The sequence below is a fragment of the Homo sapiens genome, chromosome 13 (genome assembly GCF_000001405.40).
Source record: "Homo sapiens chromosome 13, GRCh38.p14 Primary Assembly".
Lineage (NCBI taxonomy): Eukaryota > Metazoa > Chordata > Mammalia > Primates > Hominidae > Homo > Homo sapiens.
The window spans coordinates 28422689-28439528 of record NC_000013.11 but is presented as its reverse complement, the minus strand read 5'-3'; the positions used below and the strand labels follow the sequence as shown (position 1 = coordinate 28439528).

Below are 16840 nucleotides of genomic sequence, written 5' to 3'. Positions count from 1 at the left end.
GTTTTGGTGGGGACACAGTTCTACCATAATGATCACTGTAGCCACCATCTAGTCTGGGCAACCATTGCCTGCTTACTGCTTTTGTTTCTCTCCAATTCCTTCTCCATTCAGCATCCTGAATTAGCTTCGTAATCCACAAACCTGAGGCAGGACCAGCAAGCAGGTGGGGGCCTGGTTGGTTCTTTCAGGTCCAAATGGAGAGAGTTCACACAGGACTTCTTTCCATTTAGTATATAAGGCTGGAACAAATGCGGGACGATCAGAACACAATGACTCCCGAAGAGATCGTTGCCTGAGGATGTCAATAGATTCCCGAGGGCAAGGGCAGGGTAGACTGAGAATGTTTCTAAAAGGATCTTGGACTCATTCTGGTTCCCTGAGGAGTTACAGGGAAGCTGAACAGGTGTTTGAATCCTCCTTGCCTCTGAGACTGGCCAAATGCCACGCTTTTTAAGGAAGTATTGGTGCTTAAAGTCTTTTCCAGACTTCTCTGCAGGCACTTGCACAGACTTTGCTATTAGCAGGTAAGTAGCGCATACTAAAGAAATAAGCCTAATATACATATGAAATAAATGCAGCATTCAACACAGCTTCTCCGGCCTGTCCGCCTCCCCCTAAGCAGCTCAGACCTTCTCATTCATTATTATTAGCCTCCGAGGAAAAGTCTAGAAAACCTTTAAGTCATGCTTCTGTCATTCAAATGATAATCCTCTCCTCAACTTGCTAGACTTCTGCATCACCTTGAATTCTCCAAAGAGAGTTGACCTTCGCCACTGCATCTATGCCCTTTGAGCACTTACAAAGGCTCTGGAGGGCGCTTCCTGAGGCACTTAGCATAGCTGTGGTGAGAAGTCTATGCAGAATTTTCTCCTTTCTCTCCTACTGCACTTTTAGGCTTTTTCCCACAGTGGTCCCCCCATACCACATTGCATATTAAGGTATTGGGGCAATCTGATCAGAGGCCAACAACAGATATGAAATTAGGTTTTATTAGGGAAGCTTTCTTTTTCTGGGTAGAAACACAGAGGGCCAAATTCAGAGACAAAGATGTGAATGTATGGATTACATTAAGGGAGAATGACGTGACTGTGGCAATGCCTACCATACCACACTAGCTACAGTGTCTAGATGCTTGCATGTCAATCATTTATGTATATATTTTTTTCATTTTCTTCTCATTCAGATACAGGTAGACCTTTCGTAGAGATGTACAGTGAAATCCCCGAAATTATACACATGACTGAAGGAAGGGAGCTCGTCATTCCCTGCCGGGTTACGTCACCTAACATCACTGTTACTTTAAAAAAGGTAAATTTGAACACCGCTATTCTCAGCATACTTTCACTGCAAATAAGCATAATGAAGTTTTACTCGTTCTATCTTTCTGGAATAATTTCCTTACAAACACCTGGGCTTCTCAGTGGACTTTCCTGTAACATCCTTTTACTATAAGGAATAGTGCTAGAAGTTATGTCCATGCATGTGGTTAAATAGAATAAAATGATGGTGTCTTAAGCATAAATCGATGTGAATAATGAAAGAACTGAAATCGTGAAAAATGTTATGTATTGCCACAAACCCAACTGTGTGCAAATGTGAGAAAAATCAATTCTGCTGCTTACACAAATTAATAACTTTGCAGAGAGTGGATTATCCAGATTACTGCAGAGAAGACAGAATGTCAGCAGGGTGCCCAGTTCTCCAGGCATCGATATGTTCTGGCTTCATGCATAAGGAGCCAGCACGTTTGGTTTGAATTGGCAAGTTCCTTGTGATAAAAGGCCTGTCTCCTGCTGAGCACCCAAACTTCATCTCTTAGGGAAAAAGGGAGGAAAGAAGGCCATACGTGAAACTTTTCTTCATACTATATTGTAAATTGTACATATGGAAAGGTAAAAGATTTAGGGTAGAATCTAATAAAGACAAAAACTAAACCTATGACATTCTAGCTAATTAATCAGCAGTAAGAGTTAGGAGTATACCAGGACTCAGAACTGGATAAAAGCTCCCCAAACGGAAAACTGTGCTAAGTTCTGAGAGCTTAGAACTTTAAGAGAGAAAGTCAAGTCCGCCCCAGAGCAGCACCTCGCACAGTGCATCACAGAGCAGGCACTCAGGAAGTGTTTGGTGCTGGTAGCTGTGGCAGTTAGGCTGGAAAAGTTCAGAGAATGATGTTCAGTCTCACCCATCAACCCTGAGTCCTGAAATGTGGTGGAGGATTCTCCTTATCCTCTTTCCTTGCATTCACTCTCCTGGGTTGTTACTCACGTAGGCCTTCAACATAGTCCATCAGAGACAGGTTTTGGCCTCCACTACATTTGTGTGCCATCGCCAGGAAATAGAAAGTCATTATACAGCAGAGCTGGAAACGCCAGAGGAGTTGAACTCCTCAGTTGGTCAAGATAAAAACACCCTGGTTTCCAGAGTGTCAGGAACTTCGCAGGTCATACTGGGCATTTGAGCCAATACCTTGCCTTCTCATTCAGTGTTCCTGCCATCCTTCTTGAATGGTCTAGTTCATATAGGAGGAAGACAAGTGTGGTTAAGAGCAGAGGCTGGTGCCACATTGCCTGCACTCTGAACATACTGCACTTGTCACTGGGCAAACTAATGAGTTATCAAACCTCTCTCCACCTCACTCTCCCCATCTGAGGAAGGGGGTAATGACAATAGTACCACCTCACATTGCTGTTAGAAAACTTAAGTCAGGTGATATATGGAAAGCACTTAGAACAGTATCTAAGTACAAGATCAGCCCTATTCAAGGGTTAGCTTTAGCATTATTTAACAGTTTAACACCCAATACTGTACTTGGTATATTACCAAGTCATGTTTTCAATAGCATGGCATTACTCCCATTAGTCTGAGATAATTATTGCTGTATGATTAATATGGAAAACACCACGTGGAGAGGGAAACGTTCTCTTTCATGGGAGCGCTAATGCAGATGGGTTGTTTGGTCATCAGGAGCATTCCAAAATTCCCATATAAAAATCTGGGGCTGGTGGGAGTCTATTTACTGTTTTTTCTGCCTACGATCTGGAGTGCACAATTTAAAAAGAGAGAAAGAGAAGTGTAAAATTTTCACAGGGATTTTGGTTTGGCACATATATACTGGAAATATTCTAACCTATGACGTATTTCTGCTGACATGAAGTTAATATCTTTCCCTTTCATTTCTCTTATTGTCCCTTTTCTTCTAATTTTCTGTCCCCTCCCTCTCCTTTTCACATGCCTGCTTTGTCGGAGCCATGGTCAGCTGCAGACAGGCCTTGCTGCCCAGGGCTTCCTTTCGAGGCTGAGATCCACCTGCCCATCTGCCTTCATTCTTACACATGCGGTGGTGGCCACAGCTGATGGGCTACAGTCTTTGACTGCTTTAGATCTTGTCAGCTAAATGTAAAGTTACTTTGTCAATGGAATGCTACTAACAGCCGTAATGGATAGATGAGAGTAAGAGAAACACTTCGGAGGAAATTTTAGTGTATTTTTAAGTTGTACTGAGGACGTCTGTCAGCAATCCTTTCTTTTAGATTCAGCACATGCTTGTTTTCACTTATTTGTAAAGTACCATAGATTTCAGTCCCTGACTTAAATTTTTCTGGGTTTTTCCTTTGCTTGCACTAAATTAGAAGAGAAGGTTCTTTTTTTCCCACCGACTGCATTCCTGAGTTTACAGGTAGCACCTTGATTTACTGAAACATGAAAGCGAATCCTTTAATTGCTTTCAGTTCTTCATAAACAGGATGTAATTAATTTCAAACCCAAGGAACACCGGTAATACATTCCGATGTAGGCATAGTCCCTGGAAGAGAGGCACTAGTGGCTTCTGGACTAGAAATCTCTGCCATAGGATCACAAATCCAGATCAGCGCCTTCAGCAAGCAATAGAAATAAATGATAACTGGATAGAGCGAGGGATGCCAGGTGTACTTTTTAAAAGGCGATAGAAAAGGTTTCGAGCTTCTTTGTGGCTGTTTGGTATTTCCTTTATAATCTGTTGGGGGAAGGTAATTTGATTTTTTTCCCCCTTTTTCAACTGGGAATAAGGAATAGTGGTAGTTGGGAGTCTACCACCACTGAAATTGGGCTGGCAACCTGGCATCAGGGGAATTTGGCTGGGCCACTTTATGGAGCAATGACCCTTTATAAATAAAGTTTAATCCCAAGGCAGAGTGTTTATCTTGTAGTCTTTAAATGTTACATTCTTGATGTCAGAAGAAGGCATAAGGAGAAAGTCAGATCATGGATTATTTTCTTCTGTTTGGACTCACCGTGCTTGGGAATACTTCTGAGCATTAGAGAGCACTTCATTCATTGCAGAGTCTCTGGCCTCCGAGGCTGCCTTCACCATCAGCAGCTTCAGCTTCTGGGAGTTTCCTTTCCAGAGGCAGAGCTGATGCCTTCCTTGTGACACAGCAGGATCGTCAGAATGACAGCCCCAGTGAGTGCTGAGTTAATGTTATGAATCTTGGAGGACCTGGAATTATTTACACTCTTTTGAAGACAGCCACTTCTTCAGTAAACTATGCAAAATGGGAGGAAAAACTATGGCTTGTTAAAAGCGCTGGATGATGAAAACAAATGAGAATAATCTGGCAGCCCCGGTAGAAAAAAAATGCTAATTGGTTTCTCTCTCTGTTTTTGAGACAGAGTCTCGTTCTATCACCCAGGCTGGAGTGCAGTGGTGTGATCTCAGCTCACTGCAACCTCTGCCTCCCGGGTTCAAGCGATTCTCCTGCCTCAGCCTCCCGAGAGGCTGGGATTACAGGCGCCTGCCACAATGCCCAGCTAATTTTTGTATTTCTAGTAGAGACGGGGTTTCACCATGTTGGCCAGGCTGGTCTCTAACTGCTAACCTCAGGTGATCCGCCCACCTCGGCCTCCCAAAGTACTGGAATTACAGGCGTGAGCCACCACGCCCGGCCTCTTAATTGGTTTGTCTATTGAGTGTCTGACCAGCTTATTATGAAGATTCCCGGAGGCCAAAGAGTTATGGGCTCCAACTGAAAGTCTGACATGACAAGTAGGTCTATCCTGGGTAGATGCCACTTGTTGCCAAGGCTGATAGTAAATTATCATAATTACTATAATTTATCATAATGCAAATATCTTTTGCTATATGCAAAAAAACTCAAGAACCAATTATAACAAACTAGAGTTTTTAACCTAGTTTGTTATAAGCAAACTACAAAGTTTTACTATTTTCATTTTAGATGAAAAATCATGTTTTCACAAACTGCTGGTGAAACAGTATTGCCAACCAGTGCTAATAGGACCTTGTTAATGCATGCCTCTTCCTTTTCAGTTTCCACTTGACACTTTGATCCCTGATGGAAAACGCATAATCTGGGACAGTAGAAAGGGCTTCATCATATCAAATGCAACGTACAAAGAAATAGGGCTTCTGACCTGTGAAGCAACAGTCAATGGGCATTTGTATAAGACAAACTATCTCACACATCGACAAAGTAAGTGATGCTTCAAAGGCATGAACATAAGCCGAAGTGCTCTGTATTTTTATCTGTGTAATGAAATCTTAATTTTAAAAAATTTCTCTCTTATGCTTGCAGCCAATACAATCATAGATGTCCAAATAAGCACACCACGCCCAGTCAAATTACTTAGAGGCCATACTCTTGTCCTCAATTGTACTGCTACCACTCCCTTGAACACGAGAGTTCAAATGACCTGGAGTTACCCTGATGAAGTGAGTGACCCATTTTTCTATTTCTTCTGCAGGACAGTATTTTAAGCAAGTGAAATCCCGCAGGGGTTTTGAGATGGGAAAAATCAGAAAATCCTGACTCCTGTGGCAGTGTTAGTCAATAAAGAAGCTTTGGGTTTGGTTTGAGTGCTTTCTTTGCCTGGCATTTCATGAGTGTGATATGCATAGATACTGTCTTTTGATGTCTGGGGGTTTTGTTTTGAAGAGTGTAGACTGGTATTTCTATTGCATGATTCTAGGTGGAAGAAAAGGGATTGTTTCATTCTTGGAAACTACTCTGTAGGATTTAGAGATGAGAGAGAAATTTATCACCAAATGCCAGGCAGGGACTGCCTTTTGTAACAACAACAACAACTTTCCAGGAGGCTGTCTCTGTCAGCGCATTCATTTAAGATACTGGCAGACAGTCAGGCACCTGATTGGAGCATGTTTGGAAAAGATATTACAACCCAGCCATCCAATATTCCATTTGTTAAGTGTCAGGGGAGCAATTCTGTCCTTCAGAAAAATGAGAAGAATGAAGCCTGCGTTGGGTTCCCTTATTCAAATCGAACATCCTTGCAAACAATAATTGTTTTAAAAATGTATAGATGGGGAAACTATGATAAACTGTTACGGAAATTTTGACAGTAGTTCTAGCCCCCATTTCTTGTGTGTCAGCATGATTTATGCGGCATATCTCAAGTACAATCATTTGTTATGTCGTTCAGATTGCCCAATTACAAAGTCAATTTATGATTAAATTATGTATGAAAGATTAATGCATCAGCCTCAAGCTAGTGTTGTTTTTCATCGACATTTCTCGCCATGGAAATGGAATAACTTAGCAACAAAAACGTGTAACGAGTGCCCTGTAGGGACACATTAAGGACTTATCAGTCATAAACTATTCTCTAGGAGAGGTATTGTTTCATTTAAATAAAAATGCTATGGCTTGTAGCAATATTTTCTGGGTTTTAATAGAAATCAAATATTCTCCGTAAGTGCCAAGAGGGAAGAAACTTTTATCCTGCTAGCATTGCTGCTGTAAGTAAGAGTATCTACAACACATCTATTAAATGCTAATAATCTTCTAAAACAGCACTGTCCAGCAGAACTTTCTGTGATGGAAATATCCCGTATTTGTGCTCCAGTACTGTGCCACTAGCCACATATGGCAGATGAGCACTTGAAATGTGACTAGTGTGACTGAGGAAATGAATTTTTGATTTCATTTAATTTTAATAGCCACACGTGGCTGGTGGCTGCAGTACTGGGCGAAGCAATTCTAAAACACAGGATGAGTTCTTTCCCAAGTCAGAAGCAATACCAGTGTTACTCAGCTTGGCAAAGGAAGTAGTACCTGTATAAATAGAGCTGCAGAAAGCTCCCTCAGTCTGTTACGTTAGGGGACTAGTTCTCTGACTTTTGATAGTGGCAATTGACTTTTCTCTCTGGTTATTGCTGAGAATGAAGAAAATGGCCTCAACATGTGTCTGTCTGTTCCAATGGGGAAGTAAAAGGACAGGTGGGTAGAAGTGTATTAAACGTGGCACAGAGGAGAACTAAGCTCAAGATCCAAAAATCAGTTCTGGACAGCTCCCAAAGACATTTTTCCATGCTCCTCCCCTCCGCCCCCTATGACTATGGGGAAGGATTGAGAGGTGGAAATAACTTATTAGTTATAAAATATAGTGCTTAAAAAAAAAAGGAGACGGCAATGTGATCTTGTCTTCTCAAAACAGTGAGCAGGACTGTCATTGTGGCCAGGTCAGATTGCAGAGCCTAAGGCTAATTCTTGATCTTCTCTGAGACAAACCTGGGACAGCACCTTCCAAGTCTTGGTTAAAGATCCATTTACTGTGATTTAGCTGACATGGGCAAGCACTGTTCAAATAGTGAAATAATGAAACTATAGCATTATTCCACCTTAGTAAGTACAGCCAAGACTCATTATATTTTCCTTCATATCTCGTAGGGACAAAAAAGGAAACTCACATGGTGATTTGGTGAGAGAAGCACTGTCATTAAGCCAGACACTAACTAAGGCTTATGATTGTCCACGTTTGTGTGCGATATCTATGCCTAGGGAACAGGTTACTGTGTAGAGAGGTGTGTGTGCCAGAGGAAGGACACTAGATTTATGCTCAAACAACTTCAGTTCCTAGCCAACTTGGGCCAGGGTATCACTTCCTTCAGTTTTTTCATCACTAAAAGGGCAGTCAGCCTGCCAATCTCATTAGGTTGTTGGGACAAACAATTGAGATAGTATATGTGAAAGTGTATTTGAAGAAAATTAAGTGCTAAATAAATCCTGCTATGCTACATATTTGAAGCACCTCTAGACACAGATGTAGTTTCCAAACATTACGCTCTAGGTGGATTTGACATGATTCTTAGTATAAAACAGAAGCTGTTGTCGAACTAATGATCTAAGAAATGTTAAAATCCTATATAACTTTAAGCATGAACACTCACTCCTTCTACATTTGTTATACATTTTCTTTCTAGAAAAATAAGAGAGCTTCCGTAAGGCGACGAATTGACCAAAGCAATTCCCATGCCAACATATTCTACAGTGTTCTTACTATTGACAAAATGCAGAACAAAGACAAAGGACTTTATACTTGTCGTGTAAGGAGTGGACCATCATTCAAATCTGTTAACACCTCAGTGCATATATATGGTAAGCATAGTTCAGCGTTGCCAACTCATGCTATGCTTTCTAATCATTGTAGATGTCTGTGTTCTCTAAATAAGTCAGTTTTCTGTTGGCCAAGAGTTACATTATCATGAATGAATACAGCTTGGCCATGGTTCCCTCCTCCCCCTGTCAAAAAGCAAACCACATTAAGTACTCTTTACATTTAATACTTTTGAATTGAACAGAGAGTCCTTTCTTTAGATGCTTATTATGGCTAATAATTCGGTTAGAACCTAATATATTTATGAAATTCTTAGTGTTCTGTATAAACAAAACAGAAAAAGATGATGAGTTTTATCTTTATTATCTAAGAAAAATTTCTCAGGTACTACCATGAATTAGAGAAATAAAAATATGGTATGCTAAATCATTTAGAATTAATGCTATTTTATTCCTGCTTTTACTCTCAAGGAATCCTAATGCTGTTGCTTAATTTCAGTATGCAAATTCTATAAAGAAAATGCTTAAAGACCTTATTTCCATTGCTGAAAAGGAAACAGTGTGGAGGGCAGAAACTATGGAACAATTCTATCAGTAGCCTTTATTTCCTTTTGTCTTTCTCCAGTTGATTTTTGATATCAAATTGGTTGTTTTAGGGTGTACAGAGCAACTTTTTCTCACCTTGCTTATAGTGGCCAGGTAGATTTTTAGAAATATCTTCCCACTTCTTTGTTATTGTGATAGAGATATTTAAGGTGTTTCACTTTCTGTTGCTCTGCCACTGTTTTATGTGGCTAGGACGTGATACCATTTGATTTGAAAGGCGTTCACCAATTACAGTGCTTTTAAAGTATCCTATTCATGATCAACATTTGGGCTCATTGATAGGCTCTATCATAATTCAGCTCTGTTTATTTACTCATTGATTACACCCTCCCTGAATGAGGCCCTAAGGTTTTGTTTATGGAAATTATTCTTTTCTAATGTATGTATCACTTCTCCTTTCAAAGATAAAGCATTCATCACTGTGAAACATCGAAAACAGCAGGTGCTTGAAACCGTAGCTGGCAAGCGGTCTTACCGGCTCTCTATGAAAGTGAAGGCATTTCCCTCGCCGGAAGTTGTATGGTAGGACCATCCTTATTTCCATAACAGTTTAAGACATACTTTGTAAGTGGGAAGCTGCAAGAGCCTAATGACTCGAATTCCTGACAAAATACCAAGAGACGTTCCTCAGACAGCCCCAGAGAGCTCAGAACTCTGTAGATTCTTGGGTGGTGGAGGTGAGAAGGGCTGGGGAAAAGGAAATAATGTAGCAAGGTAAGCGAGAGATGAGGTTTGTTTGAGTGCTCGCTTCAGTCTAGTCTCTTACTGTGGCTAACTTTCTGCATCTCTAAACCTTCCTATGATGTCAACATTCTTTGAATGGGATGTGTTGAGCAATGACTAGGAAGCATTTTGAATATGTAACATGCTCTATTAACCCTGAAGAAGTGGGCTCTTGTAATGAGAATGCTGAAAATAATTCTTTTATATACAGCTGGGTTGAAAGTTCCAGTCCTGTTTTAAAATTAAACAAACATTAATAGAGACAAGACTTACTCATTTGAAGAGGGGGACGATGGGGCCTATTTGAACTAATTAAGTTTTTTTTGGCTAGAAAGATACATATTCAAAACCTCCTTCAGCAGTTGTTTTTTAAAACACTGGTACAACACCTGATGTAAAACAATGTAATCTGTTTATGATCTGCAATCATTTTACAAAATTACTGTTAAATGCCAATATCTTTGGCTCAAGTCATTACATTTTAAACAAAGGGTATAGTACAAAACTGATTAGCAAAACAATCCATACAATAGGGATGTGGCGCCATTTTAGAATCTCCCTAACCAGAGCTGATTTGGCTTTCAATGTCATATGAGGGCAGTGTTTGTTTGCAGTTCCCTCAAATACTTAATAGGGAATTAAAGAGAAAATTTTAACTTTGTGCTATGTCTTCATGCCATTGCAGTAGAAAAATGATCTTTTTTGCTTCAGAATATCAAAAACGTTTAGTAGTAAATTTTTAGGTTTAATAGTAAATTGAATAGTAATCTGATGACTCCAGGAGGTACATTCACTCTTCCAGTGTCTGAGGGCACGCTCATCTGTTAGTGTTGATTTCTTCAGTAACTAAGTAGCAAGGGCATTAAAAAAAAATTCAATCCACCGTCAAAAATGCTGACTTGTTGTAGGAAATAATTTAAAGTAATACCAAGACAATATTTGTAATCACAAAGTGTAGCATCCTCATTTTAATTACTTTGGATCTGAGACACACTAGTAATGGGAATTTGTTTGTAGGACTTTATAATCATGCATGATAATGAACTAAGTTCCCAATATTAAACCTTTATACAGAACACAAGAAACTCCTAATGGATTAAAACTGCCTATTTAAAGAACCATGCATTTTAATGAAATCATAGAATTTTAGAGTTATAAGGAAACTTTGAGAACCTCTAGAAAATTTGAGAAAATTGGAGCCCAAACTGGTTAGTCACATTTGCAGCAGCCTGCAGTGAGTAGCAGAGCCAGGTCAAGCACCCAAGCCTCTGACTCTCAGTTCTGTGTGCAACAGAGTGATATCAATGCATCGATTCAGTATTTAATACGTTTTTAAAATTTCTTTAAGTTTATGCTTTCTGTTTTTTTTTTTTCTGTGCCTTAACTGTTCTTCCTCAGAGGAAAAATCTTGATAGTCTTGATTTCACTCTAGTTTATGAAAGGGACAACTGGTGTGACCATTTATAAAACTAATAAGAACTCCACATGAGACCACAATAGAAAAGTCTATTTTTATTTTTATCTGGAGAAGTGATCTACTTGATCTGACTTACAATGGCCCTTATACTGCTGATGGAGCCTCGTGGAAAACTCTGAAAAACATCTCGGATGGAATCAGAGCCCCTGCTTCTGGGTTAATACTTAAGTCACAGTGGCCACCAGTATGCCTGTGGGCACACTAAGCTACTGCTTTTCTATCTTCGCTCGCTTTATTTCTTCTTCCTTGCCAATAAATATGAAGTGTTACCCAGTCTAAAAATCATATCTGCCTTTACTCAAAAGTTAATGCCTACATTTTAAAAATCAACACTGATGATCAAAGGTTTGAAATTGGTCAACTTGAGCTCAAAAACTTCAATGACCGTGTTATCAAAGTGATATTGAGAGGCCGTGTGAAATGACTTACTGATCATGTTTTTAACCACAGGTTAAAAGATGGGTTACCTGCGACTGAGAAATCTGCTCGCTATTTGACTCGTGGCTACTCGTTAATTATCAAGGACGTAACTGAAGAGGATGCAGGGAATTATACAATCTTGCTGAGCATAAAACAGTCAAATGTGTTTAAAAACCTCACTGCCACTCTAATTGTCAATGGTAAGTTTGCTGTTCATACTTTCTTCTGGTTCTGGTAGGCAACAAATTAGTGAACATTTATGAATTCAAAAATCAGCGTAACAACATCAAAGATAGCAAAATTTCAAATAATCATTTGAAAAAACACTTAACGTTAAGTTCCCATCTTAACAATCTCGTGTTTGTTTGTTGTATTCCATAGGCGGCATGATCTTTTATCACTGTAATCACAATGTACATACCATGGAATCAAATTATTAATAATCTCAAAACCCTGCTACTACTTTTAAAAATCTGCATTTTCTTGACAAATAGGAGGGTTTATTTGTTTTTTTGTTTCTTGTTTGTTTCCCTGACATCAAAGCCAGTGAGAATGTGGTCCTTCATGTGTGGCCCAGGAGAAAGTCATTAGAACTGCTCTTGACTTCTGTCCCGTTCTTCATCTCCTTTCCAGTGAAACCCCAGATTTACGAAAAGGCCGTGTCATCGTTTCCAGACCCGGCTCTCTACCCACTGGGCAGCAGACAAATCCTGACTTGTACCGCATATGGTATCCCTCAACCTACAATCAAGTGGTTCTGGCACCCCTGTAACCATAATCATTCCGAAGCAAGGTAGGGACAGTCAGTTTTTTTACTAACTTTCAAATACTTTTTGACACCTGGAATTAAGATTTTTTAATGGACGCAGATGGGAATCTGCATGTGGGATGTACTGTATATTTGAGGCAAAGGCTCTCCCTGCCTTGGAAAAAGGTGGGCAACAGCTACTCTTCTTTCTTACTGAATATACCCTATCACTGGCTAACAATTTCATAATTTTTCTCTCTAGTTTACAGTTTTAGAAGCACAAGCACAAAACTAAGGTCCTCCCATGAGCTGTGACATGAGCTCAGGTTGGAACTCTGGTCTCCTGTTTCTCAACTGAAGATCCCTAGACTTTGGCAATACCACTATGTCAGTTGCATTAGCATTCCCATTTTTCATTTTGTATTCTTTGGTTATGATCCAAGTTCTTCCCAACACCAGTGATCACTATGTTTCCTACTTTTGGGCTTTGCTCTTCCATCTGTCTGAAATGCACCTCCACCCATTGCCTGCCTCCTAAGAGGGCTTTATTTATCAAACCCCATGGCTCAGCTCTTACGTCACCTTCTCTGTGAACTCTCCTCACTGCCTCATTCAGAATCACTTCTTCCCCCTCAGTATGAACAGCACTTTGTTCACGCCCTTGTTACATCACTCGATGCGCAAAGGTTTGTCTCTCTCTAAGCTAAGAGCTGATTGAGAGCACCCTTGTGTCTTTAGGCTGGGCCAAGGCTGGCACACAGTAGATACTTAGTGTATATTTGCTAAATGAATACATCCCTACCCTCTGCTAATTGTGCAGCATTTCCTTGCATCCTGTTGATGACTGAGCCTTGTTTGCTTTTTCCTCTTTTTGTTTAGTCTAGAGGGATGATACTAAGGATAGTTTATGGGAGCTAATTTGAAGAACAGGAATAGACTTGATAGGTGCAACAATAAGATATTATTGAAACTGCCCAAGGATTATCATTATGCCAAACTATTTTCCTTATTACTTTTAACTCCACTTGCAGAGTGTTCAGGAGGATTGTTATTCAAAAAAAAAAAAAAAAAAAGATTGACAGGAAAAGTAAACAAAGCATAATCCTAACATAAACAGATAGAAGTGGCTATTTGATTTTCTAGATTCTTCCCACAATTCCAACTCGTTTTGCTTAGGGTGTATTACTCTCAGAGTGGAAAGTTACTGGTGAGCTATGGAATTCCTGGGAAGTAGCTGTTTTCCACACATCTGATTTCTCATTTGACTGTCATTTTCTAAGAATAGAAATAGAGAAGACTTACAAATCTTAAATATCTTCTTTACCACTGTGAATGTTTAACACATAAGACAGTGAGATCTACTGAAATTCTATACTATTTTGCAAATTTGGGGTATGCATCAATATTTATCGACCCATCCGTTTAGGGTCTTGACATATGTGCCAACCTAACATGCAAATAAATAAAAAAAAAACTAAATAATTGAAGCTATTAGATTCGGATAAAAGTGTAGAGTTGAATTTTTCTGGAATAACAGAGCCTTTTCTAAATATATTTAAATTTTGTTTTGGCAATATTAAATCTAAAATTTCTATTCTATCTAGGATTAGAACTAGTAACTATGTTAGAAAATAACAATTATGGTGATAGAACATAATATTTATAAATTTGGGTTTAAGTGATGCTAATAAAATATGGTTTGGGGAATGAGGCCACCTCGAATGGAACTTTGTAAACATTAGCTTTCTTTCCAATTTCTTTGTGGTGTAAGGGATCTCTCTTCTGTGTGATGGAATAAGTTCGCCAAGGCCTGAAAACATGTCTTATTCCTTTCAGAATGGTCTCAAGACTCAGAGCATTACCTTAAATGTTTGTTGGCCATTTGAATTATTCTCTGTTCAAGGCATTTTTTTTCACTACTTACAAGACTGATCACAAATGGAAGTTTAAGGTTGCATATGCTTTATTTCTTTAATACGTTGCTGCTTGAAATTATCTGCCAAAAACGTACACATCTTTGATGTACAAGAATGACAGCTCGATGTACATTAGTCAGCAGGTACTAATTGAGTAGCCTACCTGTGTGAGGCCCAGATTTGGTGCTTGGTGGTTAAATCAGTACAGTTAACTTAGAGGTGTTTCAGAAATATATGTAGAAACTTTGTACACCAGAAAATAAACAGAACCACTCTTTCACCCTCTCAGAGAGATGAAGCTAAAATTTATAGATAAATGAAACCCTCTTTAATTACCAAAAGTTCTCAAATATGTCTTTATATAAACATATTTATATACACTTAGACTAACTTAGATTCAGTTGTAGACAGGAATTTTAGTAACACATGAGTAAGAAATGCTCCATTGCACTTATTTTGAGTTATATGGTAACATATTTGCATACTGGTGTCTATACATGATCATCAAAAGAGATTGGGTGACTAATATATGCACATTACTCTCAAATACGTAGAATAATTCCTGGCATTTAAATTTTAGGCTCTAGTGAAAGGGCGTATCTATGTATATCCACGGCCAAAGCATTCGCTTAGTTTGAGGACAGAATGTACTTGTTTAAGGAGCTCAAAACTATTAATTGGTTTAATATGGCCAGACAGTTAATGTATCTACTATAGAAAGAGGTTCAGACCTAACTCAAATTATTTAGTGTCTTAGAGTCTAATAAATATGTAAATATGTTAAGTTATTATAACTACCGATAGTTCAACTGAAAATGTCACCCTTTAAAAAAAAAGTAGTAAAATATGCTATGAAGGCGAGCTAAGTTTTGACTGAGTAATATTGTGGCTTTCGTTTTGCCTAGAATTTGTTCTTATAAAACATTAGGAATAAAAGAGAGGAGGGAAAGGATGATTACTTTTAAACTCATACAGGTAATGAACCAAGAAGAAATAAAGCAGAATCTTTCCCTTTTTAGTTTTTTTTTTAATTAAAAAAAGGAAAGTGGGGCCAGGTGCAGTGGCTCATACCTGTAATCCCAACACCTTGGGAGGCCAAGGCAGGAGGATCACCTGAGGTCGGGAGTTTGAGACCAGCCTGGGCAACATAATGAAACCCCGCCACTACTTAAAATACAAAAATTAGCCAGGAGCGGTGGCAGGCACCTATAATTCCAGCTGCTCAGGGACAATTGCTTGAACCTGGGAGGTGGAGGTTGCAATGAGCTGAGATCGCACCACTGCACTCCAGCCTGGGCAACAAGAGCGAAACTCCGCTTCAGAAAAAAAAGAAAAAGAAAGAAAAGAAAAGTGATAATAAAACTGTGATATCTCTTTTGAATATTAATAACACCAAAATAAGTTATCAACACTGAATAAGGTGGAATATTTTATTTTTCTCATCCTCAGCCAACAGGTAGACTTCTAAATAGATATTCCTAAACCTGCTCCCATGAGTCTGAGCAAAAAGCCAGAGAGCATCATAAGGATGTTAAGCATATAGTGCCTTCCACATGTCTATAGCTTGCAGCCTCTGCTCATATAAAGTAAAGATAATGATATACACTTCATAGAGAGACTATGAGGATCGAATGAGGTAATGTATTTAGAAAGTTACAGAGCACCACAGATTTGCAAGGTTGTAATCATTGCTAGCATTGGGGTACATTTCTTTAAATAAGACCTGAGAACCTTTAATGAACTTAAAGGATATTTCTGCCTACTATAGAGCTAGTTTGACAACAGTGAGCAGTTTTGCCAAACATTTCTAAGAAATGAATGCAAATTATGGAATGTAAAATGCAGTTTTGTTGTGCTTTAAGAATAGTAATTTAGTAGGTCTGGGGTGGAGGGTGGCTGTGGAATTCAGGAAAATATGACTTTTCAGAAGAAGAAAAATTAAGGAACTACAGAAGAGTTAGACAAAAGTAAAAGGAAGAGTAAATGGAAGGGTGTCATGAGGGAATGAAGTAATTCTCCCAGTTCGTGTGGCCTGCCCCATTCATTGGTTTCCTGTCATGAGAGGAAGTGGTTCTGCCCTGTGGGTTGGCTGAGGCTGGGGTGGGCTGACTGGGCATGTGGGGGAGCTGATGCCTGCTCAGCCAGTCCACTTTCAATTTCTAGAACTTCACGTTCCGCCTGCATTTTGAACAACTAAGTAGTACGAGTAAACCCCCCAAGGACTGAGCTCCGCTTGATCTTACAGTCCTCCATGAACTCTGCCAGAGTACTGATGCAGCCTCACAGGAGATACTATTTAGATAAGATTGTCCATGGCAAGGAGGTTGGTTGGTTTCTAAAGGAACAATAATAATACAGGACTGGAGGGAAGGGGACCTTCTCTGTGGAATGGAAAGGGTGGATTTCAGGAACCCAGGAGAGGATAGGGCAAGGACAGTCTTGGCATAATCAGTTTGTGCTGCAGATCACTGTTTTCTCAGGAAGAATCTAAGATGTTGAAAGTCTACTTTTCTTTACGTGTGCTTGAATACCAAGGAGACCCTCGGGTAGCTGACTGGACAATTGTGTGGCCTGAATGGGTCTTTGCGCTCATCTGTTC

The 16840-nt window shown here is 39.4% G+C and overlaps 1 protein-coding gene across 4 annotated transcripts in view, besides 5 other annotated features; it reads left to right on the top strand.

Annotated features, from left to right (window-relative positions):
* FLT1 (fms related receptor tyrosine kinase 1) overlaps window positions 1-16840 on the top strand; it is a 194783-nt gene that overhangs the window by 55600 nt on the left and 122343 nt on the right. For all 4 annotated transcript variants that reach the window (NM_002019.4, NM_001160030.2, NM_001159920.2 and 1 more), the window contains exons 4-10: window positions 1184-1308; window positions 5309-5471; window positions 5574-5710; window positions 8219-8393; window positions 9362-9479; window positions 11608-11777; window positions 12211-12370. In NM_002019.4, coding sequence (NP_002010.2) covers window positions 1184-1308; window positions 5309-5471; window positions 5574-5710; window positions 8219-8393; window positions 9362-9479; window positions 11608-11777; window positions 12211-12370 — 1048 coding nt within the window. The remainder of the gene's footprint in view (window positions 1-1183; window positions 1309-5308; window positions 5472-5573; window positions 5711-8218; window positions 8394-9361; window positions 9480-11607; window positions 11778-12210; window positions 12371-16840) is intronic.
* Window positions 238-1022: an enhancer, noted in NCBI's record as "OCT4-NANOG-H3K27ac-H3K4me1 hESC enhancer chr13:29012644-29013428 (GRCh37/hg19 assembly coordinates)". NCBI's record gives its function as "activates a minimal SCP1, AML or CMV promoter by ChIP-STARR-seq in naive H9 embryonic stem cells {active_cell/tissue: H9 hESC(naive)}" and the evidence as "EXISTENCE:reporter gene assay evidence [ECO:0000049][PMID:30033119]".
* Window positions 2022-2964: an enhancer, noted in NCBI's record as "H3K4me1 hESC enhancer chr13:29010702-29011644 (GRCh37/hg19 assembly coordinates)". NCBI's record gives its function as "activates a minimal SCP1, AML or CMV promoter by ChIP-STARR-seq in naive H9 embryonic stem cells {active_cell/tissue: H9 hESC(naive)}" and the evidence as "EXISTENCE:reporter gene assay evidence [ECO:0000049][PMID:30033119]".
* Window positions 8564-9223: an enhancer, noted in NCBI's record as "OCT4-NANOG-H3K27ac-H3K4me1 hESC enhancer chr13:29004443-29005102 (GRCh37/hg19 assembly coordinates)". NCBI's record gives its function as "activates a minimal SCP1, AML or CMV promoter by ChIP-STARR-seq in primed H9 embryonic stem cells {active_cell/tissue: H9 hESC(primed)}" and the evidence as "EXISTENCE:reporter gene assay evidence [ECO:0000049][PMID:30033119]".
* Window positions 9243-9642: an enhancer, noted in NCBI's record as "active region_7514". NCBI's record gives its function as "activates an Ori minimal core promoter by ATAC-STARR-seq in GM12878 lymphoblastoid cells {active_cell/tissue: GM12878}" and the evidence as "EXISTENCE:reporter gene assay evidence [ECO:0000049][PMID:35858748]".
* Window positions 16454-16503: an enhancer, noted in NCBI's record as "active region_7513". NCBI's record gives its function as "activates an Ori minimal core promoter by ATAC-STARR-seq in GM12878 lymphoblastoid cells {active_cell/tissue: GM12878}" and the evidence as "EXISTENCE:reporter gene assay evidence [ECO:0000049][PMID:35858748]".